Here is a 25341-nt window from a genome sequence, read left to right as displayed (position 1 = left end):
ATGCAGAACGTGCACTCCTGGCTGGAGCTGCAGCACTGGAGCAAGGGTCTTGCAGCTGGGCATGGGGTTACTGCACAAACACTATGTGCCCAAAGGCTAGGCTGCTTTGTAGCTGGAGTAGTGCCCCTGTGGCCAGGGCGGGTAGGCAGGGGCAGCCTCAGAGTTGATACCCATGTGGAAGGGTCAGCATCTGCTGGTCCCTGGTGGGCTCCGCCTTCAATGTCAGGGCTACCACTTGGACCTGTTTAGTGAGCACTGGGGTCTTTTTGGATGTCCTGAGCTCAGCGCTCCAGAAAAATTTAATATTGCCCAATAAAAAGCCTTGAGAAAGACAGAATTGCTTGTGGAACATGCATGTTCCACCCCACCTGGACCCCAGATTGTGCGCATCTTCGATGAGCTCTCAGATTCCTTGTTCAGAGTGGCTGACTTGGATGAACACAAATGTGGAATTATGTCAAAGTTTGCAAAAATTACTAGCTGATTAAAAACAAAACAAAAACTAGGCAAGTGGCCTAACTGTTTATGTTTGATTTTGAAATTAGTGGAATCCATCTAGACAAAGAAAAGTGTAAAAGAGCAGTGGACCTCAATGTTAAAATCTTGGATTTGAGTAGTACATGTCTTACGGCAAACAACTTTCCCAACAAGATTGAGAAGCATCTCTTACTAGAACACATTCACCATAACTTTTATCTGATGGGGATCGTATCATAATTGATGGTCTCCATGCAGAAGCACCAGGCGACTTGGTGTGAGAAGCTGCTTACAAAATTTTTCTTCATCCCTATACTGGTCAGTTAAAATGTTTAGAAGAATTGCTCAGCAACAGAGATCCTCTGCAAAAGTTGGTAGGGTATTCTGTGTTTTCCAGCAGGGCTCTCCAAGGAACAATAGTTAAAAATTCAGAGACTGTCATCCAGTTCCCTGAGAAACTCTCTGACAAACTTTCTGAAAGAACTTGAAAAGATTTTGAGATGATACGACAGATGAAAAGTGAAACAGAAGAACAAAGCTTTAGGCATCATGCTACCTGACTTCAAACTATACTACAAGGCTACAGTAACCAAAACAGCATGGTACTGGTACCAAAACAGAGATATAGATCAATGGAACAGAACAGAGCCCTCAGAAATAATGCCACATATCTACAACTATCTGATCTTTGACAAACCTGAGAAAAACAAGCAATGGGGAAAGGATTCCCTATTTAATAAATGGTGCTGGGAAAACTGGCTAGCCATATGTAGAAAGCTGAAACTGGATCCCTTCCTTACACCTTATACAAAAATTAATTCAAGATGGATTAAAGACTTAAACATTAGACCTAAAACCATAAAAAACCCTAGAAGAAAACCTAGGGATTACCATTCAGGTCATAGTCATGGGCAAGAACTTCATGTCTAAAACACCAAAAGCAATGGCAACAAAAGCCAAAATTGACAAATGGGATCTAATTAAACTAAAGAGCTTCTGCACAGCAAAAGAAACCACCATCAGAGTGAACATGCAACCTACAAAATGGGAGAAGATTTTCACAACCTACTCATCTGACAAAGGGCTAATATCCAGAATCTACAATGAACTCAAACAAATTTCCAAGAAAAAAACAAACAACCCCATCAAAAAGTGGGCGAAGGACATGAACAGACACTTCTCAAAAGAAGACATTTATGCAGCCAAAAAACACATGAAAAAATGCTCAACATCACTGGCCATCAGAGAAATGCAAATCAAAACTACAATGAGATACCATCTCACACCAGTTAGAATGGCGATCATTAAAATGTCAGGAAACAACAGGTGCTGGAGAGGATGTGGAGGAATAGGAACACTTTTACACTGTTGATGGGACTGTAAACTAGTTCAACCATTGTGGAAGTCAGTGTGGCGATTCCTCAGGGATCTAGAACTAGAAATACCATTTGACCCAGCCATCCCATTACTGGGTATATACCCAAAGGACTATAAATCATGCTGCTATAAAGACACATGCACACGTAGGTTTATTGCGGCACTACTCACAATAGCAAAGACTTGGAACCAACCCAAATGTCCATCAATGATAGACTGGATTAAGAAAATGTGGCACATATACACCATGGAATACTATGCAGCCATAAAAAATGATGAGTTCATGTGCTTTGTAGGGACATGGATGAAATTGGAAATCATCATTCTCAGTAAACTATCGCAAGAACAAAAAACCAAGCACCGCATATTCTCACTCATAGGTGGGAATTGAAAAATGAGAACACATGGACACAAGAAGGGGAACATCACACTCTGGGGACTGTTGTTGGGTGTGGGGAGGGGGGAAGGATAGCTTTAGAAGATATATCTAATGCTAAATGACGAGTTAATGGGTGCAGCACACCAGCATGGCACATGTATACATATGTAACTAACCTGCACATTGTGTACATGTACCCTAAAACTTAAAGTATAATAATAATAAAATAAAATTAAATTAAATTAAATTAAATTAAATTAAAAAAAAGAAAATGAAACAGAATTCTCAAAGTTCCAAAGTAATGCCTTGGGACCCCCACTACCAGAGTGGTGTGATTCATGCACAAAGGTATAATATTGACCCTGGCTTATATTGCCTGTTTTTCTCCCTTGGAGCATGCATGGAAGGCCTGAATATTTGGCTTAACAAACTGTTGGAGATTTCCTTATATGCAGAGTAGCCTGCAAAAGGAGAGGTATGGTGTGAAGATGTCCGAAAACTGGCCATCATTCATGAATCTGAAGGACTGTTGGGGTGCATTTACTTTGATTTTTTTCAGCAAGCAGACAAACCACATCAGGATTGCCATTTTCGAATCCACAGAGGCAGATTAAAGGAAGACAGAGACTATCAACTCCCAGTCATAGTTCTTATGCTGAATCTTCCCCATTCCTCAAGGAGTTCACAAACTTTGCTAACTCCTGGAATGATGGAAAATCTTGACCATGAAATGGGACATGCTATGCATTCAATGCTAGGACGTACTTCTTACCAACACATCACCGGAACCAGGTGCCCCATTGATTTTGCAGGGGTTCCTTCTATTCTAATAGAGTACTTTGCAAATGATTATTGAGTAACCAGTTTGCCAGACAAAATTAGAATGGGCAGCCACTGCCAAAAAAATATGGTGTCTCAGCTTTCTGAATCTAAAAAAGTTTGTGCTGCAGCTGATATGAAACTTCAGGTCTTTTATGCCCCTCTGGATCAAATCTACCATAGGAAGCATCCCCTGAGGAATTCAACCACAGACATTCTCAAGGAAACACAAGAGACATTCTGTGGCTTACCATATGTTCCAAATACTGCCTAGAAGCTGCGGATCACCTACCTCATGGGCTATAGGGCCAAATATTACTCTTACCTCATGTCTAGGGCAGTCACTTCCATGGTTTGGAAGGAATGTTTTCTACAAAATCCTTTTAACAGGGCCACCATGGAGTGCTATTGCAGGGAGATGCTGGCCCACAGTGGAGGCAAGAAGCCCATGCTCATGGTTGAAGGTGTGCTTCAAAAGTGCCCTTCTATTGATTACTTTGTAAGTGCCCTTGTTTCTGACTTGGATCTGGACTTTGAAACTTTTGTCATGGATTATGAATCATGGAAACACCCTAAATCTCTTAAATCAAGGCAATGTAGATATTGACTTTGTTATAAATGCTACAGCTGTGAAAGCTTGTTTCTGATTTCAGTGTTGATTTCTGTAATAATTTCTGAAAAACTTTAAACTGATAGAACTTGGAATAAATCATTTGTTTTAATTATATAGAAATGAAGAAAGCCTACAGATGTATGAGACACCATTAAGTGAATAAATATTCATATTCTGGGTGTTCTACAAGGAGAAGAGAAGAGAATAGAAAAGGAGAGGAAAACATATTTAATAAAATCATAGCAGATAACTTCCCAAGTCTTGGGAGAGAGATAGGCATCCAGGTCCAGAAAGCTCAAAGAATCCCAATTAGATTTAACCCAAGCAGGTCCTCTCTGAAAAATGTTGTAGTCAAATTGTCAAAAGTCAAAGACAATGAATTTTAAAAACAGCAAGAGGAAAGAATTAAGTCACATATAAAGGAATCTTCATTAGACTAACAGTGTACTTCTCAGCAAAATATTTACAGGCCAGGAAAGAATGGGATGATAGATTCAAAGTGCTGAAAAAAAAAAACTGTCAGCCAAGAATATTAAACCCAGCAAAGCTACACTTTAGAAATGAAGGGGAAATAAAATATTTCACAGATAAACAAAAATTAAGGAAATTTACCACGAGAACAGACTTACAAGAAATGCTCAAAGGAGTCTTACATCTGGAAGTAAAAAAATGGTAACCACCATGATGAAAACATGAGAAACTATAAAACTGACTGGTAAAGCCAATACACAAAGGAGAAAAAGAAAGGAATAAAGCCTTATCACTACAGAAAACCACCCAGCTGCAACAACAAACAATCAGGAAGTAAAGAACAAATATACAAAACAAACCAGGCATAAATATACAAAAACCAGAAAAACATCAATAAATGACAGGAGTAAGTCCTCATCTATCAGTAATAACCTTGAAAGTAAATGGATTAAATTCCTCATTTAAAATATATAGACTGACTGAATGAATTAATAAAAACATGACCCAATAATACGCTGCCTACAAGAAATTCACTTCACTGTAAACACAACTGAAAGTGAAATGATGAAAAAGATATTTTAGGCAAACAGAAGCCAAAAGTGAGCAGGAGTAGCAATACAAACAGACTTCAACTCAAAAGCTGTAAAGAGACAAAGAAAGACATTATATAACAAAGGGATCACTTTGGAAAGAAAATGCCACAATTGTAAACATACATATACCCATCACCAGAGCACCCAGAAATATAAAGCAAATATTCTATCTAAAGGGAGAGATAGACCCCTATACAACAATAGTCAGGGACTTAATTCAACATCCCACTCTCAGCATTGGATAGATTACCAACACAGAAAAATGAACAGTGAAACATCACATTTAAATTCTGTCATAGCAAGGAGGAGTTCGTACCATACCTTTTGAAACTATTCCAATCAATAGAAAAAGAAGGAATCCTCCCTAACTCATTTTATGAGGCCAGCATCATCCTGATACCAAAGCCTAGCAGAGACACAACAACAAAAAGAGAATTTTAGACCAATATCCCTGATGAACATCCATGCAAAAATCCTCAATAAAGTACTGGCAAACCGAATCCAGCAGCACATCAAAAAGCTTATCCACCATGATCAAGTGGGCTTCATCCCTGGGATGCAAGGCTGGTTCAACATATGCAAATCAATAAACGTAATCCAGCCTATAAGCAGAACCAAAGACAAAAACCACATGATTATCTCAATAGATGCAGAAAAGGCCTTTGCGAATTCAACAGCCCTTCATGCTAAAAACTCTCAATAAATTAGGCATTGATGGCACATATCTAAAAATAATAAGAGCTATTTATGACAAAACCACAACCAATATCATACTGAATGGACAAAACCTGGAAGCATTCCCTTTGAAAACCAGCACAAGACAACGACACCCCCTCTCATGACTCCTATTCAACATAGTATTGGAAGTTCTAGCCAAGACAATCAGGCAAGAGAAAGAAATAAAGGGTATTCAAATAGGAAAAGAGGAAGTCAAATTGTCTCTGTTTGCAGATGACATGATTGTATACCTAGAAAAACCCATCGTCTCAGCCTCAAATCTCCTTAAGCTGAAAAGCAACTTCAGCAAAGTCTCAGGATACAAAATTAATGTGCAAAATCACAAGCATTCTTATACATCAATAACAGACAAACAGAGAGCCAAATCATGAGTGAACTCCCATTCACAATTGCTTCAAAGAGAATAAAATACCTAGGAATCCAACTTACAAGGGATGTGAAGGACCTCTTCAAGGAGAACTACAAACCACTGCTCGATGAAATAAAAGAGGACACCAACAAATGGAAGAACATTCCATGCTCATGGATAGGAAGAATCAATATCGTGAAAATGGCCATACTGCCCAAGGTAATTTACAGATTCAATGCCATCCCCATCAAGCTACCAATGACTTTCTTCACAGAATTGGAAAAAACTACTTTAAAGTTCATATGAACCAAAAAAGAGCCCGCATCGCCAAGTCAATCCTAAGCCAGAAGAACAAAGCTGGGGCATCATGCTACTTGATTTCAAACTATACTACAAGGCTACAGTAACCAAAACAGCACGGTAATGGTACCAAAACAGAGATATAGACCAATGGATCTACAGCCATCTGATCTTTGACAAACCTGACAAAAAGAAGAAACGGGGGAAGGATTCCCTATTTAATAAATGGTGCTGGGAAAACTGGCTAGCCATATGTAGAAAGCTGAAACTGGATCCCTTCCTTACACCTTATACAAAAATTAATTCAAGATGGATTAAAGACTTAAATGTTAGACCTAAAACCATAAAAACCCTAGAAGAAAACCTAGGCAATACCATTCAGGACATAGGCATGGGCAAGGACTTCATGTCTAAAACACCAAAAGCAATGGCAACAAAAGCCAAAATTGACAAATGGGATCTAATTAAACTGAAGAGCTTTCTGCACAGCAAAAGAAACTACCATCAGAGTGAACAGGCAACCTACAGAATGGGAGAAAATTTTTGCAATCTACTCATCTGACAAAGGGCTAATATCCAGAATCTACAAAGAACTCAAACAAATTTCCAAGAAAAAAACAAACAACCCCATCAAAAAGTGGACAAAAGATATGAACAGAGACTTCTCAAAAGAAGACATTTATGCAGCCAACAGACACTTGAAAAAATGCTCATCATCACTGGCCATCAGGGAAATGCAAATCAAAACTACAATGAGATACCATCTCACACCAGGTAGAATGGCGACCATTAAAAAGTCAGAAAACAAGAGGTGCTGGAGAGGATGTGGAGAAATAGGAACACTTTTACACTGTTGGTGGGACTTTAAACTAGTTCAACCATTGTGGAAGACAGTGTGGCGATTCCTCAAGGATACAGAACTAGAAATACCATTTGACCCAGCCATCCCATTACCAGGTATATACCCAAAGGACTATAAATCATGCTGCTATAAAGACACATGCACACATATGTTTATTGTGTCACTATTCACAATAGCAAAGACTTGGAACCAACCCAAGTGTCCATCAATGATAGACTGGATTAAGAAAATGTGGCACATATACACCATGGAATACTATGCAGCCATAAAAAAGGATAAGTTCATGTCCTTTGTAGGGACATGGATGAAGCTGGAAACCATTATTCTCAGCAAACTATTGCAAGGACAAAACAAAACAAAACAAAACACTGCGTGTTCTCACTCATAGGTGGGAATTGAACAATGAGAACAGTTGGACACAGGAAGGGGAACATCACACACCAGGACCTGTCGTGGGGTGAGGGGAAGGGGGAGAGATAGCATTAGGAGATATACCTGTTGTAAGTGACTAGTTAATGGGTTCAGCACACCAACATGGCACATGTATACCTGCACGTTGTGCACACGTACCCTAGAACTTAAAGTATAATAAATAAATAAATAAAATAAAAAATAAAAATAAACTGTACCATGGAACAAATGGACTTAGCATATATTTAGTGAACATTTCACCCAACAGCTGCAGAATATATATTATTTTCATTGGCATATGGAACATTCCCCAGGATTTACCATATGTAAAAACACAACATAAGCCCCCAAAAATATTTTTAAAAATAAAAATCATATCAAGTATCTTATCAAAATGGAATAAAATTAGACATCATTAACAAGAGGAATATTTGAAACTATACAAGTACAAGAAAATTAAACATGCTCCTGCATGACCAATAGATGAGGAAAAAATTAAGAATAAATTAGGCCGGGTGCAGTGGCTCATGCCTGTAATCCCAGCACTTTGGGAGGCCGAGGTGGGTGGATACAAGGTCAGGAGATTGAGACCATCCTGGCTAACACAGTGAAACTCTGTCTATACTAAAAATACAAAATAAATTAGCAGGCATGGTGGCGGGCACCTGTAGTCCCAGCTACTCGGGAGGCTGAGGCAGGAGAATGGCGTGAACCTGGGAGGTGGAGCTTGCAGTGAGCCAAGATCACGCCATTGCCCTCCAGCCTGGGCGACAGAGCAAGACTGTCTCAAAAAAAAAAAAGAATAAAAAAAAAAAAAAAATGAAGATAGAAACACAGCAAACCAAAACCCAAAAACCTACAAGACATAGCAAAAACAGTACTAACTAATGTTTATAGCAATAAATGCCTACATCAAAAAGCTAGAAAAGGCCAGGCACAGTTGCTCACATCTTCAATTCCAGCATTTTGGGAGGCTGAGACAGGAGCATCACTTGAAGCCAGGAGTTCAAGACCATCCTGGACAACATAAGACCCTATCAATCTATCAATCAATCAGTAGACAGACAAGAGGATTTCTTCGGCCTAGGGGTTCAAGACAAGCCTGGGCAACATAGTGAGACCGCCATCTCTACAAATAATTACAAATAAAAATAAAATGAACCCAAATCTAAAAAAACTAGAAAGATTTTAAATAAACAATTCTAATAATACATCTCAAGAAAGTAGAAAAGCAAAAACAAACCCAGGACAAAACAGCTTCACAGCTGAATTCTACTGAACCTTTAAAGAAGTATACCAGTTCTCCTGAAACTATTCCAGAAAAATTGAAAGAGAGGGAATTCTTTCTAAATCATTCTATGAGGCCAGCATAATTCTGATAACAAAACCAGACAAAGACACAAATGAAAAAGAAAACTATGGGCCAATATCCCTGAAAAACATAGACAGAAAAAATCCTCAACAAAATACTAGGAAACAAAATCTACCAACATTGGGTTACAAATATCTCTTTGATGTACTTATTTCCTGCCCCTTGGGTAAATACTCAGTAGTGGGATTGCAGGATTGAACAACAGTTATATTTTTAGTTTTTGAGAAATCTCCATACTGTTCTCCATAATGGATGTAGTATTTTACGTTACCAACAACAATGTATAAGAGTTCCCTTTTCTCTGTATCCCTGTTGGCATTTGGTTTTAGTCTTTTTGGTCATAGCCATCCTAACTGGGGTTAGATGATACCACACTGTGATTCTGATTTGCATTCCCCTGATGATTGGTGACACTGAACATTTTTTCATGTAATTCTTGGCCGTAAGTGCCTTCTTTTGAGAAATGTCTGTTCAGATTATTTGCCCATTTTCGAATTTGATTTTTTTCTCTTGAGATTTTGAGTTCCTTGTTTATCCTAGATATTAATCACCTGTCAGATCAATATTTGCAAGTATTTTCTCCCATTCTATAGGCTGTGTTTTAACTCTGTTGATTGTTTCTTTTGCTGTGCAAAAGCTTTTTAGTATTATATAATCCCATTTATTTTTGCTTTTGGTTGGCTGTGCCTTTGAGGTCTTATTCATAAAATCTTTTCTCAGACCAAAGATATGGAATTAACCTAAGTGCCCATCAATGAATGAATGCATAAAGAAAATGTGGTGTATGTACACAGTGAAATAGTGTTCAGCCACAAAAAATAATGAGATCCTGTCATTTGCAGCAACATGGATAAAACTGGAGGACCTTGTGTTAAGTGAAATAAGCCAGGCACAGAAAGTTAAACACTACATGTCCTCCATTCATTTGTGGAAGGTGAAAAAGAAACCCTGATCTCATAGAAGTAAAAAGTAGAACAGAGTATAATAGAGGATAGGAAGGGTAGAGAGAAATAAGGGATAGGGAGAGATTTGTTGAAGGATACAAAATTATAGCTAGATAAGAGGAACAAATTCTAGTGTTCTATACCACTAATGTAGGATGACTATAGTTAACCATAATGTATTGTATAGTTTCAAACAGCTAGAAGGAGGATATTGAATGTTCTCACCACCAAGAAATGATAAGTGTTTGAGATGGATATGCTAATTACCTTGCTCTGATCACTACACATTATATGTAGCGAAACATTACTATGTACCCCCATAAATATGTACAACTATTGCATGAATTTAAAAAATTTAAATTAAATTAAAGTTCACCTTTTCTCCCAGAGATTAATCCATTAGTAATGGGAAGGCACAATTACCCAGGCTCAAGCGTTTTCAGGTCTAATAGGAAAAATAGGGCCAAGAGAACCAACTCTATGACAATAAAAGAGCCAAGATTATGAGGCAGGAAGGACTTGGATCTTGAGTTCAAAAAGAAGGTAGAAGTCATATCTCTTTAGGATTATCTTCACAGTGGAGAGCAGAAAAACATACAAAGTTCTGGGATTTTAAAAAAAACTGTCTGGTGTGAGTAGGTTGAAGGTTAAAAAAAAGAAAAGAAAAAAACTGTCAACCAATAATTTTATACCCAGCAAAGTTTGAGAGATCATAGATCATAGATCTGCCTAACATGAAATACTAAACAAATACTAAAGAAAGTCTTCATACCGAGAGGAAATAACATAGGATGGTCGCTTGAATCCACAGAATGACTGAAATGGTAAATATGTCAATAAGTATAAAAAATGTATACATGTTCTAATTTCTTCTTTTAATTGCTTTAAGAGACATAAGATTATATAAAGCAGTAATTACAACCCTATATTGTTGGGTTTATATTATAAATTGTTATATTATGACAATAACAGCACAAAGCTATATTAAAGCAAAGTTATATTTTACTGTAATTAAGTCTGTATTAACCTGATGTAGACAATTATAAATTATGAGGCATATAGTAATCCCCAGCAGAATTGCTAAGAAAATAACTCAAGCATACTTAAGAATTTGAAAGAGGAATTAAAATTATACACTAAAAAATTTTTTTCACACCAAAGAAGGCCATAAAAGAGGAACAGATAAAAAAAAACATAACATATCTAAAAAACAAATAACAAAATGGCAGCCACAGGTCCAATGAAACAAATAAATTACAGTAAGTGCACTAACATTCTAATTAAAAGGCAGAGATTTTCAGATCAGATTTAAATAGCAATATTCAACTATATGCTATCAAAAGAGACAATACAGAATCCAAGACACAACTGGATGTAAATAAAAGGATACTAATGTAGTTGGAGTGGCTATATTAATATAAAACAAAATGATACTATTAGAGATAAAAAGGAACATTTAATAATGAGTCAATTTTATTAAAGTAAAACAAATTTTAATTTATAATCATCAAACAAAGGAGCCTCATATCAGAAGAAGTTAAAACTGACAAAATTCAAAGGTGAAAGAGACTATTTAAAAACTATAATTAGAAACTCTGATACTGAACTTTTAATACTGGATAGAACTAATAGACATAAAATCAAAAAGGATATGGAAGAATTGAACAACACTAAGTCCTTTGAACCTAACTGGTATATAATATGGTAAGATGCATATAACCACCTACTTTCCACCCAAGAGAGAAATGAATGTTTACCTCAAGTACACATGGAACATTCTCCAGGATAGACCATATGGCAAGCCATAAAACAATCATTCAAAGTATGCTATTTGACCACAATGGAATTTAATTACCAATTAATAGAAATAAATTTGAGAAATCTCTAAATATTTGAAAATTAAATAACACAGTTATGAATAACCCATAGGACTAAGAAGAAATCACAAGGTAAATTAGAAATTATTTTGGCCTGAATGAAAACAAAAGCACAACATTACAAAAGATATAAGTTGGAGCTAATGCAGTGCTCAACATATATAGCTTTAAAAACAAATATTTGAAAAAAGAGAATCTTGAATCAATAACCTAAGCTTCACCTTAAGAAAAACAGACAAAGAGCAAATTCAACCAAAACAAGCAGAAGAAATAAAAATGACTAAGGAAAAGTCCCCAACTCATTCTAAGAGGTTATTTATATTTTGATACTAAAGCCAGATACAGACTTCACTAGTAAAGAGAAAACAGACCAAAATAAACATAGACACAAAAATCCAGAAAAAACATTAGACATTGAATCCAGCAACATACGAAAAGAATTATATTCCATGAACAAATGGGATTTATCCCAGGAATGCAAACTTGGTTAACAAATGAAAATCAATTAATGCATATTCAAAGATTAGATCAAAAAATGACATGATTATCTCAGATTTTTTTTTAGAAAAACTGTTTAACAAAGCCTAACATCAATTCATGATTAAAAACAAACTAGAACTAGATGTATACTTTCTCAGCCTCATAACGGGAGTCTACAAAAATGTTTTTGTTGTCTCCTATTTATCTCACTGATGAGGGAGGCATTCTTGTCCTAGGATTCTAGAGATAGATACACAATACCTGACACTGGACAGATGAGATCAACAGCAGTTATTAGTCACATATACTCACAGCTTAGGGGAGGAGGACACCACATGCCATGTGGGGCCACTCGGGGGTTGCAATGGGAAATTGAACATCCGGGGATTATGGGAGGCAGGCTTTGTAGTTTCAAGAGGGTCAGGTGACCCCCGTCTGTGGGAGGTCTGTGTTGTCTGTGGGAGGATGTGATTGGCTTGTTTGAATAATTCCATGGGCTGGCAGGGAACTGAAACCCACTACTCAGAGATAAGCAGGAACTGCACCTGTTCTGTTTGATAAAGGGAATTGTTTAACTATGTGACCTTAGCCATGGGAACAGAACAGAGTGGGGAACTTGCTGTTAGGCCATTTGAGGACATCCCGCTTTTACCAAACGTCAAGACAGCATGTAATTCTGAGCCTTAATTTTAGGCTTTATACTACACAACAAACAACAGAGAAGAAACCCCTACAGCTAATGTAATACTGGTGAAAGAACAGATGCTTTGTCCCTGAAATTGGGAAAAAAGCAAAGATATCTGCTCTTGCCACTTCTATCAACATTGTACCAGAAGTTTAGCCAGCACAATAAGGCAAGAAGAGAAATTAAAATTATGCAAATTAGAAAGGAAGACATTAAACTGTTTTATTTGTAGATGATATGGTATTTTATTTGCAGATGACATGTATAAAATCCTAAAGAATCTTTAAAAAGCTGCTAAAACTAATAAACAGGGTTAGCAAGCTTTAAGGACATAATATTAATATATACAAATCAATTATATTTGTATATACTAGCAATTAACAATCTGAAAACAAAATTAAGATAATTTCCCTCATAACAGCATTGCTAAAAGGAACTAAAAAAGACCTCAATAAATGGAAAGACATAACCTGTTAATAGATTGGAAGACTCAATATCATTAAGATGGTAATTCTTCCCAAATTTATCTAGAGTCAATGTCATCCTGATTTCAGCAAGCTTTTTATAGAAATGAGTATATCAATCCTAAACTTCATATGGAAATACAAATAACCTAGAATAGCCAAAACAATTCTGAAGAACAAAAGTGGAGACCTTACACTTTTTTATTTTTAAACTTACCATAAAGCTACAGTAATCAAAACAGTATAGTATTGACATAAGAATAGACATATAGATTAATATAACAGAAGAGAGAGAGTCTAGAAATAAATCTTTACATTTATGGTGAACTGAGTTTTGACAATGGTTTTGCAAAGCAATTCAATGGGGAAAAGAAAAATCTTTTCTGCAAATGATGCTAAGACAATTGGCTATCCACACGCACAAAAAATAGAACTTAGACTGTTATTTCACACTACAAAGAAAAAAAATAAAAAATGGATTATAGACCTAAATGTAAGAGCTAAAACTATAAGACTTCTAGAAAACATGAGAAAATCTCTGTGACACTGGATTAGAAAAGATTTCTTAAATATGACACCAAAAGCCTGTTCAATTTAAATAAGAAGTTGGTAAATTAGACTTTCAAAATTAAAAACATTTGCTCCTTAAAAAACATCATTAAGAAAACAGAATGATAAGCCATAGACTAAGAAAAAAATTTTGCAAATCATTTGATAAAGAGATTTTTTATATCCAGAATATGTAAATAACTCTTAAAACTCAATCATAAGAACATAAGTTACCCAATTTAAAAATGGGCAATAGGCTTAAACAGACATTTCACTGTAAACATATATAAATGGCTAATAAGCATATGAAAAGATGCTCAATATCATTAGTCATTAAAGAAATGCAAATTAAAATCACAGTGAGATATCATTCCACACCCATCAAAATAAAGAAAAAGACAGTACCAAATGTTAGTAACTCTGTGAAGTATGTGAAGTATCTGGAACCCTCATGCATTGGTCCTGAGAGTGTAAAATGGTACAGCCACTTTAGGAAACATTTTGGCAATGGCTTCAAAAGTTAAAGTTAACTTACTATTATCTAGCAATTTCACTCCTAGAGACCAAAATGAAAACATGTCCTACAAAGACCTGTATATGAATGTGCATAGTAGCATTATTCATAGTAGCCAAAAATTGGAAACAATTCAAATGTCTATCAGCTAGTGAATGGATAACAAAGATACAGAATATTTTCATCACAACAAAGATCCCTGTGTTGCCCTTTTATAACCCCACTCAACTCTCTATCCCACTTCACCAGCCACCTCCAACTCCCAACCCATGGCAACCACTAATCAGCTCTGTTTTCAATAATTTTGTCATTCCAGAAATCTTATATGATGGAGTCATATAGTTTGAAATCTTTCAGGATTGACTTTTTTTCCCCCACTCCGCATAATTCCCTGGAGGCTCATCCAAATTGTTGCCTGCATAATTATCCATTTTGTTTTATTACTGAGTAGAAATCCGTGGTGTGATGGTTAATATTAAGTGTCAATTTGATTGGATTGAAGGATGCAAAGTATTGTTCCTGGGTATGTCTGTGAGGGTGTTGCCAAAGGAGATTAACATTTGAGTCAGTGGACTGGGGAGAGGCCCACCCACCCTCAATGTGGGTGGGCACCATCTGATCAACTGCTAGAATAAAGCAGACTTGCCGAGTCTTCTGGCCTTCATTCAGTGCTGGATGCTTCCTGCCCTCGAACTTCCTGCCCTTGAAGACTCCAAGTTCTTCAGCTTTCAGACTTTGGACTTACACCAGTGGTTTGCCAAGGTCTCTCAGGCCTTTGGCCACAGACTGAAGGCTGCACTGTTGGCTTCCAAACTTTTGAGGTTTTGGGCTTCCTTGCTCCTCAGCTTGCAGACGGCCTGTTGTGGGACTTCACCTTGTGATTGTGTGAGTCAATTCTCCTTAATAACAAACTTCCTTTCATATATACATACATCCTATTAGTTCTGTTCCTCTAGAGAACCCTGACTAATACACACGGTACATACCACACATACCAGTTTGTTAACCATGAACCCAGTCAAGAACATTTAAGTTGTTTCCAGACTTTGGCAGTTACAAATAAAGCTGCTATGGACATTTGCGTATATTATATGAGCCTAAGTTGTCATTTCTCTGGGATAAACACCCAAGGGTGCAACTGCTGGATTGTATGGTAACTACATGTTTACTTGAAGAAATTGCCAAACTGTTTTCCAGAGTGGCCGGGAATTATCTTTTAAAAAGTAGTTCTGTTTATTGTTAACCATGACCAGACAAAAAATAAAAAGAAATACATCTTTATTCAGGTCTTTTATAGGAATAAGATACTAGAAGTCTATTCAGACTCCCTTATCATAGTTTAATTAGTGAGAAAAGGTGACAGTACATTATGATCAAAGCATCTTTGCAAAAAAGCAATTTATTACTAAAAGCAGCTTAAAATTTTACAGATAATTTCAATGTTGACCTAGCAGCTCAACAACAGTAGTACTTCTATGGTGCATTGATGCAACATTTGGCATTAAGCAGAGTCTGAATGTTTTACTCAACATTTTGGGATGAAAATACAGGAAACATATGCCACATATCCATATATATATATATATATATATATATATGCACACACACATATATATATATATGCATACATCTACTTATCTTGGTTTATTTTTATTCAAGAACAAGCTCTCAGAAATATAGAGACATTTTTTCTTCCCCAAACAAAATAAACCCTGTCCTTCAAGGCTGAAAATTAAATATTTCAGAGGATTTTTGAATAATTTAAGAAGGTTCCAAACCTTGAGGCATGTCCATTATGAAATCATTACTACACATTTTTGGGGGGGCTACTCTGTTCTTTTGAAATCTGAATTCAACAGGAGTTCTGTAAAAAAGACATTCATGTTCCCTGTGTGGGGCACCATCCCCAACCTTAAAGCTTTTCAGTTCATTGCATATGTATGCATATGCATCCTAAACCAGATTTAAAAGCCATCACAAGAATCTACCTGCATATGTACTATGTAGGATTTTCTTTCTGTATTTACCAGTCACCTGGGTTTCTGCCCATTCCAGTTTAGCATTTCATGCTACCCTCTATACAACTCTACTCAACCACATCTGAATACCTGTCTATAGGGAAATCATAGATCCAAAGGCATTCAGTGCAGGACAAATCACCAGAAATCCTACTTACAATCATGAGTGTCTGCTGGTTCATTTTATACAAACGAAAGTCACTTTTCATCTTTGATGACATTTCTACTATCACTGTTGCCAGGTTGGAGCTGCTACAACGTCTCTTTGTTCCTGTCAGTCACTCTTATTATCAACATTCATGTAGCCCTTAATAATGAATTTTTATCTCTTTTTGGTGTAATACTGGCTTACCTGAAGGAGTTATAACCTTTTCCAATATTCAACAACTATAACACATATTTATATTCAACTATAACACATATTCATTGAGTGTCTACTATTTTCACTGTGATATTCTACTATTTCACTGGATATTCTGTGGCGACAGAAATAAACACAGTTCCCTCCCCAATGGTGAAAACAGATATTAAGCAGATCATCACACAGTAATTAAGTAACATGGTAATTACTTAATTACCATGTTAGAAAGCATAAGAAAAAAGTGTGTGTGTGAGAGAGAGAGAGAGAGAGAGAGAGAGAAAGAGAGAGTGTGTGTGGGGGTGTGTGTGTGTGTATGTATGTATGCAGGTATGGGGAAATATATGCATAAAGGGACTAAGTATAACCTGGCAAAAAATTGTAGGCAAGAAAAAGATGTTCAAGCTGAGATCTGAAAATGATTTGGAGTTGGTTCAATGGAAGAAGTGTCACTAAAGTGAGAAGAATTTTGGCATAGTTAAAAGCACACTGAATGTCACTGTGGCTGGAACTCAGAGTTAAGTAAGAGAGGAGAGCTGGGGAGGTAGGCAGGAGCGAGACTGTGCCAGGTCTCATAGGCTCTGAATGTTATTCAAGTTGCATTTGAAGAATTTTTAAGCAGGGTTTAACCTAGTCATAATCAGATTTGCATTTTAAAAGGATCACTCTTGAAGAATGAAACAAGTAATAATTTTGGCTCAGATTGGAGGAGAACATGGAGGGAGGCCAATTAGAAGCCTTTTATAGAAGTTCAGGAGAGAAATGACGGATTTCTTGTATTATTGTGTTGGGACCAAATAATAAGAAAAATACCTTAGAGGTAAAGCTAAGAAGACATGGTTTCCAGGCAGAGCAACTGAGTAGATAGGGCACATTTAGGGAATATGAATTCAGTTTGGGACATATTGAGTAGATACCTAGAATGTAAGTTCTCCCAGGACACTTTTTGCCTGTTTTGTTCACTGCTGCATCCTAGGGCCTTACGAGATAATCAAGTAGAGATGTTGAAAAAGCAGTGAAATTTACATGGATTCATAGTTGAGAGGAGAGGTTTGGGCTTGAATTAAAAATGTAGAAGTCAGCTGTATACAGATGCTATCAGAAGTTGGGACAATGACTAGCTCCTCATGAGGCTGGGGAGTGGCAAAAGACAAGATCCAGGGCTAGTGCCCACCTCAATTGTTAACAGCTCTCTGTAACACCAAATGCGATGGCCAAATCACTTAATTATCATTCTCGCCATTATGTGGGAAACCCAGTGTAGTGCATATTCTGAAGGGGTCTTGAAGGCATTCAGGTCCCAGCATTTCCATTGCAGCATTCATTTTGGATCTGTCCCATTGGAATACTAAGCCTCTCATCCGTACGGTATCATTTCTCTACGCCAACTCTTTTATTCAAGGGAAATGGGTGGAAAGAAATCAGGAAAATTGGTTACAGCCTAAAATGCAACATGATGCTGAAATGTCAATGGAAGATACAGATTTAATGTTTTACCCTTTCCAGCTATCATATAAAGATCCAAGTTGGACAAATAGGATAAATTTTTAGTGGGGAAGGCAGTTCCATGCTTTTTATGACTCTACTACTTTCTCTACCTTTTATTCCTTCTTTCAGTCCTTCTGGAAGAAGTTCTCCTATTTCTCACTTTTCTGAATGCACCCAGAGCAGAAAGAGATTTGTCAATCTCCTGTATACACTTATAGTGAACTAAATTTATTGTGAGAAAAGAAAACATTGCCTTTACATATTGTGTTATCCTTTTTACATAAACCTGGGTGTCATCAGAATCTTTGATATATTACTAATCTAATGAGCTTTGAATCTATATATTTCATACTTAATTTCTCCTTAATAAAATGAGATCCTTTCATAGTATGACAGTTGCTAAAAATACAAATCCACAGATGAAATCAAATCATCTATCTTTATAAGAATTAATTCCAAAATGTAACTTACTTGTCCTATCCATGTCTCAATTTCTCTAAAAAAATTTGCTTATTATAATGTAAACTGACTTAAGTGGCCAATACAAATTGTCACCAAAATTGAGTAATCAAAAGTCACTGAGAGCTAAGTTTAAAACAAAACAAAACCCATAGGTCCCTCTGTTTTGTGTGTCTACAATAAAGATTATTTTTCTCACAATTAAGCAAAAGACTTTTCAAAAGATGGAAATCACAGATTCATTCTGCTTAAGGTCTTCTTCTCTGTACATGACCCCCAAAACTCTAATTAACGAAGTTCATTGAATAAATATGACTGTGATTATAATTCATTTTATATCATTAGTTGAATTGATTTAAAATTTTACTATTAACATACTTGTTACGTGGCTTTTATAAAGAACTGTTAACCCAATGAAAACATTGTTAACCCACAGAATATACATTCTTCTCAGCACCACATCACGCTTATTCCAAAATTGACCACATAATTGGAAGTAAAGCACTTCTCAGCAAATGTAAAAGAACGGAAATTATAACCAACTGTCTCTCAGATCACAGTGCAATCAAACCAGAACTCAGGATTAAGAAACTCACTCAAAACCGCTCAACTACATGGAAACTGAACAACCTGCTCCTGAATGACTACTGGGTACATAACGAAATGAAGGCAGAAATAAAGATGTTCTTTGAAACCAATGAGAACAAAGACACAACATACCAGAATCTCTGGGACACATTTAAAACAGTGTGTAGAGGGAAATTTATAGCACTAAATGCCCACAAGAGAAAACAGGAAAGATCTAAAATTGACACCCTAACATCACAATTAAAAGAACTAGAGAAGCAAGAGCAAACACATTCAAAAGCTAGCAGAAGGCAAGAAATAACTAAGATCAGAGAAGAACTGAAGGAGATAGAGACACAAAAAAACCCTTCAAAAAATCAATGAATCCAGGAGCTGGTTTTTTGAAAAGATCAACAAAATTGATAGACTGCTAGCAAGACTAATAAAGAAGAAAAGAGAGAAGAATCAAATAGACGCAATAAAAAATAATAAAGGGGATATCACCACTAGTCCCACAGAAATACAAACTACCATCAGAGAATACTATAAACACCTCTACGCAAATAAACTAGAAAATCTCGAAGAAATGGATAAATTCCTGAACACATAAACTTTCCCAAGAGTAAACCAGGAAGAAGTTGAATCCCTGAATAGACCAATAACAGGCTCTGAAATTGAGGCAATAATTAATAGTCTACCAACCCAAAAAAGTCCAGGACCAGACAGATTCACAGCCGAATTCTACCAGAGGTACAAGGAGGAACTGGTACCATTCCTTCTAAAACTATTCCAATCAATAGAAAAAGAGGGAATCCTCCCTAACTCATTTTATGAGGCCAGCATCATCCTAATACCAAAGCCTAGCAGAGACACAACAAAAAAAGAAAATTTTAGACCAATATCCCTGATGAACATCCATGCAAAAATTCTCAATGAAATATTGGCAAACCGAATCCAGCAGCACATCAAAAAGCTTATCCACCATGATCAAGTGGGCTTCATCCCTGGGATGCAAGGCTGGTTCAACATATGCAAATCACTAAATATAATCCAGTCTATAAACAGAACCAAAGACAAAAACCACATGATTATCTCAATAGATGCAGAAAAGGCCTTTGACAAAATTCAACAACTCTTCATGCTAAAAACTCTCAATAAATTAGGTATTGATGGGACATATCTCAAAATAATAAGAGCTATTTATGACAAACCCACAGCCAATATCATACTGAATGGGCAAAAACTGGAAGCATCCCCTTTGAAAACTGGCTCAAGACAGGGATGCCCTCTCTCACCAATCCTATTCAACATAGTGCTGGAAGTTCTAACCAGGGCAATCAGGCAGGAGAAAGAAAGAAAGGGTATTCAATTAGGAAAAGAGGAAGTCAAATTGTCTCTGTTTGCAGATGATATGATTGTAAATCTAGAAAACCCCATCGTCTCAGCCCAAAGTCTCCTTAAGCTGATAAGCAACTTCAGCAAAGTCTCAGGATACAAAATCAATGTGCAAAAATCACAAGCATTCTTATACACCAATAACAGACAAACAGAGAGCCAAATCATGAGTGAACTCCCATTCACAAATGCTTCAAAGAGAATAAAATACCTAGGAATCCAACTTACAAGGCATGTGAAGGACCTCTTCAAGGAGAACTACAAACCACTGCTCAATGAAATAAAAGAGGATACAAACAAATGGAAGAACATTCCATGCTCATAGATAGGAAGAATCAATATCGTGAAAATGGCCATACTGCCCAAGGTAATTTATAGATTCAATGCCATCCCCATCAAGTTACCAATGATTTTCTTCACAGAATTGGAAAAAACTACTTTAAAGTTCATATGGAACCAAAAAAGAGCTCACATCGCCAAGTCAATCCTAAGCCAAAAGAACACAGCTGGAGGCATCACGCTACTTGACTTCAAACTATATTACAAGGCTACAGTAACCAAAACAGCATGGTTACTGTAGCAAAACAGAGATATAGACCAATGGAACAGAAAAGAGCCCTCAGAAATAATACCACACATCTACAACCATCTGATCTTTGACAAACCTGACAAAAAGAAGAAATGGGGGAAGGATTCCCTATTTAATAAATGGTGCTGGGAAAACTGGCTAGCCATATGTAGAAAGCTGAAACTGGATCCCTTCCTTACACTGTATACAAAAATTAATTCAAGATGGATTAAAGACTTAAATGTTAGACCTGAAACCATAAAAACCCTAGAAGAAAACCTAGGCAATACCATTCAGGACATAGGCATGGGCAAGGACTTCATATCTAAAACACCAAAAGCAATGGCAATGAAAGCCACAATTGACAAATGGGATCTAATTAAACTAAAGAGCCTCTGCACAGCAAAAGAAACTACCATCAGAGTGAACAGGCAACCTACAGAATGGGAGAAAATTTTTGCAATCTACTCATCTGACAAAGGGCTAATATCCAGAATCTACAATGAACTCAAACAAATTTACAAGAAAAAAACAACCCCATCAAAAAGTGGGCAAAGGATATGAACAGACACTTCGCAAAAGAAGACATGTACGCAGCCAACAGACACATGAAAAAATGCTCATCATCACTGGCCATCAGAGAAATGCAAATCAAAACCACAGTGAGATACCATCTCACACCAGTTAGAATGGTGATCATTAAAAAGTCAGGAAACAACAGGTGCTGGAGAGGATGTGGAGAAATAGGAACACTTTTACACTGTTGGTGGGACTGTAAACTTGTTCAACCATTCTGGAAGACAGTGTGGTGATTCCTCAAGGATCTAGAACTAGAAATACCATTTGACCCAGCCATTCCATTACTGGCTATATACCCAAAGGATTATAAATCATGCTGCTATAAAGGCACATGTACACGTATGTTTATTGCAGCACTATTCACAATAGCAAAGACTTGGAACCAACCCAAATATCCATCAATGATAGACTGGATTAAGAAAATGTGGCACATATACACCATGGAATACTATGCAGCCATAAAAAGGATAAGTTCACGTCCTTTGTAGGGACATGCATGAAACAAGAAACTATCATTCTCAGCAAACTATCACAAGAACAAAAAAACCAAACACTGCCTGTTCTCACTCATACATGGGAATTGAACGATGAGAACACTTGGACACAGGAAGGGGAACATCACACACTGGGGCCTGTTGTAGGGTGTGGGGAGGGGGAAGGGATAGCATTAGGAGATATACCTAATGCTAAATGACGAGTTAATGGGCACAGCACACCAACATGGCACATGTATACATATGTAACAAACCTGCACGTCGTGCACATGTACCCTAGAACTTAAAGTATGATTAAAAAAATAAAAATAAAAAAGAAAGAAAACATTGTTAACTCAGTGAAATGTACCAAGGTCACTCTATAAAATGGGAATAATGATGCCTGCCTCATAAGACTGTGGTGAGAATTAAATGAATTAATGTTTGAAATGCTGTCAGAATAGTCTCTGGCATATAGCAAGCCAAATTCATTTTGGCTGCTATTGCTGCTTTTGCTGCTGACAAACATAATTCCTGCTTATCTGCATTTGCGATGATCAGAGTGGGGATCATGGCTATGGTGGAATTACAATCATTATTGTTTTAAAAATATGGTACATTGGTTACTCAGCAGGAATTTTGTGTATAAATCAAGTAATTTCTAAAGCACTAGAAGAGCCACTATTCAAAAGACTTTTTAAAGCACATAATCAATTTTTCAGGAAAGCCAAAGATTCCCATAAGAAAGTACATTTCCCTGCTGCTACCACATTCCCCTAGCAGGTGTTCCAGTTTGCCTCTGTGACAACCTGCTTGAGAATCGGTTCCAGCCTGGATTGGAAGGAAGTATGCTACAAGAGCTGAGATAGCAAAAGACCTTAGCCGATAAACCTTCACAGTCTGAAAATCATTTGTTTACTTTTCTTATTATCAGCCACTCTTACCTTTCCTGACATGGTCACATGCTGCTTCTCCAGCTCCTTTCTCACCCTTATGATCCTCCATGCCTACCCAGGTCTATCCTCCTGACCCTCAGCCAACGTTTGTCCTGATTCTTCTCAGCGGTTCCCAGAACATCAGATGCGGCTCACCAGCGCGATGTATCTCAGGATCATTCTGGTCTCCTCTCAATTGCACACTCTTCACTTAAACCCTAAGACAACTTGATTGGTCCTAGCTTCCCATCTTTCTGCAGGCCTGAAGCTAGCTGTTACCCTAGCATGACAGACTGTTAAGGAAACTGCTATGGACTCACAGGTCTCCATGTGTCTGGGAAGAGTTATGAATCCTCCTGAACTCCATTCTTACCTTTTGTTCCATACCTTCTTCCTCCTACCTGAGCATTTTATAAGAAATCCAAGGAATGATAAATGTTTGTGAGAAGATAGTTGTAAGTCATTGTTTCAAAGCTGTGTTCTCCCCCACTCCTCTGCCACCTTCCCCCACCACACATTATACAACCTTCAGCAAAAAGTTTGGTTAGTTTCCTTCTGGGCTCCTGTGATAAGGTTGGGAGGGACCCAGGTGTGGCCAGAGTGAACCAAACAAGCTTTTGCACCTTGGTTTTTCAGAAAAAATCAAGAAGAAAATATAGCTTGCGTGGCAAAGTCCCCCAACATGCATGCTAGTGCAACCACTTAAGAACATAGAAATATATAGATTCAAAGCTCGTTAGCCAGTTTCTATGCCTCAATACAGACACAAACCAGGACAAGTTAGAGCCGCAGTCCCATAAGAGCTCTGTTCACTCCAAGGGCATAAGCCAAATTTAAGGATTACCTATGCTTCTGAATCCAAATAGACCTATGGCTGTTGACCTTAAGGAGCAAGTGGAGGCCTTTTCCATTCTTCCATTTCCCTCTACCCTGCACAATTGCTGGAGCCCACTCAACTGGAGAAAACCTACCACAAATGTTCTAAAGTCTAACAAACATTGGAACAACACTCAGCAAAAAAGAATGATTGACTGATACACATAACAACACGAACAAATCCCCAAATAATTATGCTGAGTGGAAGAAGCCGGATGAAATTAGAGTACATACTGTATGACTCTATTTATATAAAATTCTAGAAGATGCAAACTAATCTATAGTAACAGAAAGCCTATCAGTGGTTGCATGACTATGGGGAGGAGCTCACAAAAAGAAAAAGGGGGGAAGGATTACAAAATAGCATGAAGAAACTTTTTGAGGTGATGTGTATGTTTATTTTCTTGCCTTTGGTGCTGGTTTCACAGGTGTGCATGTGTCAAAACTCATCAAATAGCTCATTTTAAATATGTGCTATTTATTTAGGTTATGTCACAATAGAGCTATTTAAAGGTGTGCTCCCACTTCTGCTTATTAATATGGTATATATTAATAAATTTTCTAACATTAAACCAACTCTTCATTCCTAGAATAAATCTCATTTGGTCATGATTTATTATTTTCTCGACATGGTATTGGATTCTGCTTGCTAATTATTTTGTTATTTTTGTGTTCTAGATTTTTTTTACTTTTAACTTTCCTTTCTTTAAATAGTTGCCTATATTCAACATTGGAAAGTTCCATTATCTGAATTCTATATGTTCTAAATCTAATGTTTGTTGTGGTTGCTGACTTTTAGTCATCAAGGTTTGTTTACTTGTGATTGGTAATTTTTCAATTAGGAATTTGTATTTGTTTTAATCTAATGTGTGAGAATCCTAAGAGTTCAAGTAAGTTCTGCTTCTCCATGACCTGTATTTGCTTATGCCAGGCACCAGGAAATACTACCAACCTGGACTACTTTACTTCCTCCAGTTTGGGATTTTCCTGGCTCAATGGACAGTATAAATGTAAACTCCACAATCACAAGTGATTGGATGAGATTTAAAATTCTCTGGAGACACATATTGTGATTTTCGTTGTTGTTGTTGTTTTCCACCCAGTGCAGCAACCCAGACAATCTCCTCTTAGCTGCCTTTTGCTGCTTTGTCAGATTTTTTTCTAACTCATTATTTCATTGAAGTCATAGCTCTTTCAACAGGCCTTGACATTATATTTGCATCCCAGGCTCTATTTCCTTGTCTTGCATAGGCACAAGGCCTGCCCTTTAATTTTCTTAGTGAGTATAAACCCCAAAGCTCTAGATTCTAGGTATCAGCATCTGCCCTAGGGAAGGCCAGTCTTCTATGTT

At 36.9% G+C, this 25341-nt stretch overlaps 1 pseudogene; it reads left to right on the top strand.

Moving 5' to 3' along the window:
• Positions 1 to 338: 338 nt before the first annotated feature.
• Positions 339 to 3777, top strand: MIPEPP1 (mitochondrial intermediate peptidase pseudogene 1; annotated as a pseudogene).

This window comes from Homo sapiens, chromosome 7 (genome assembly GCF_000001405.40).
Source record: "Homo sapiens chromosome 7, GRCh38.p14 Primary Assembly".
In the NCBI taxonomy this organism is placed as follows: Eukaryota; Metazoa; Chordata; class Mammalia; order Primates; family Hominidae; genus Homo; species Homo sapiens.
This window is presented reverse-complemented; position numbering and strand designations above follow the sequence as displayed.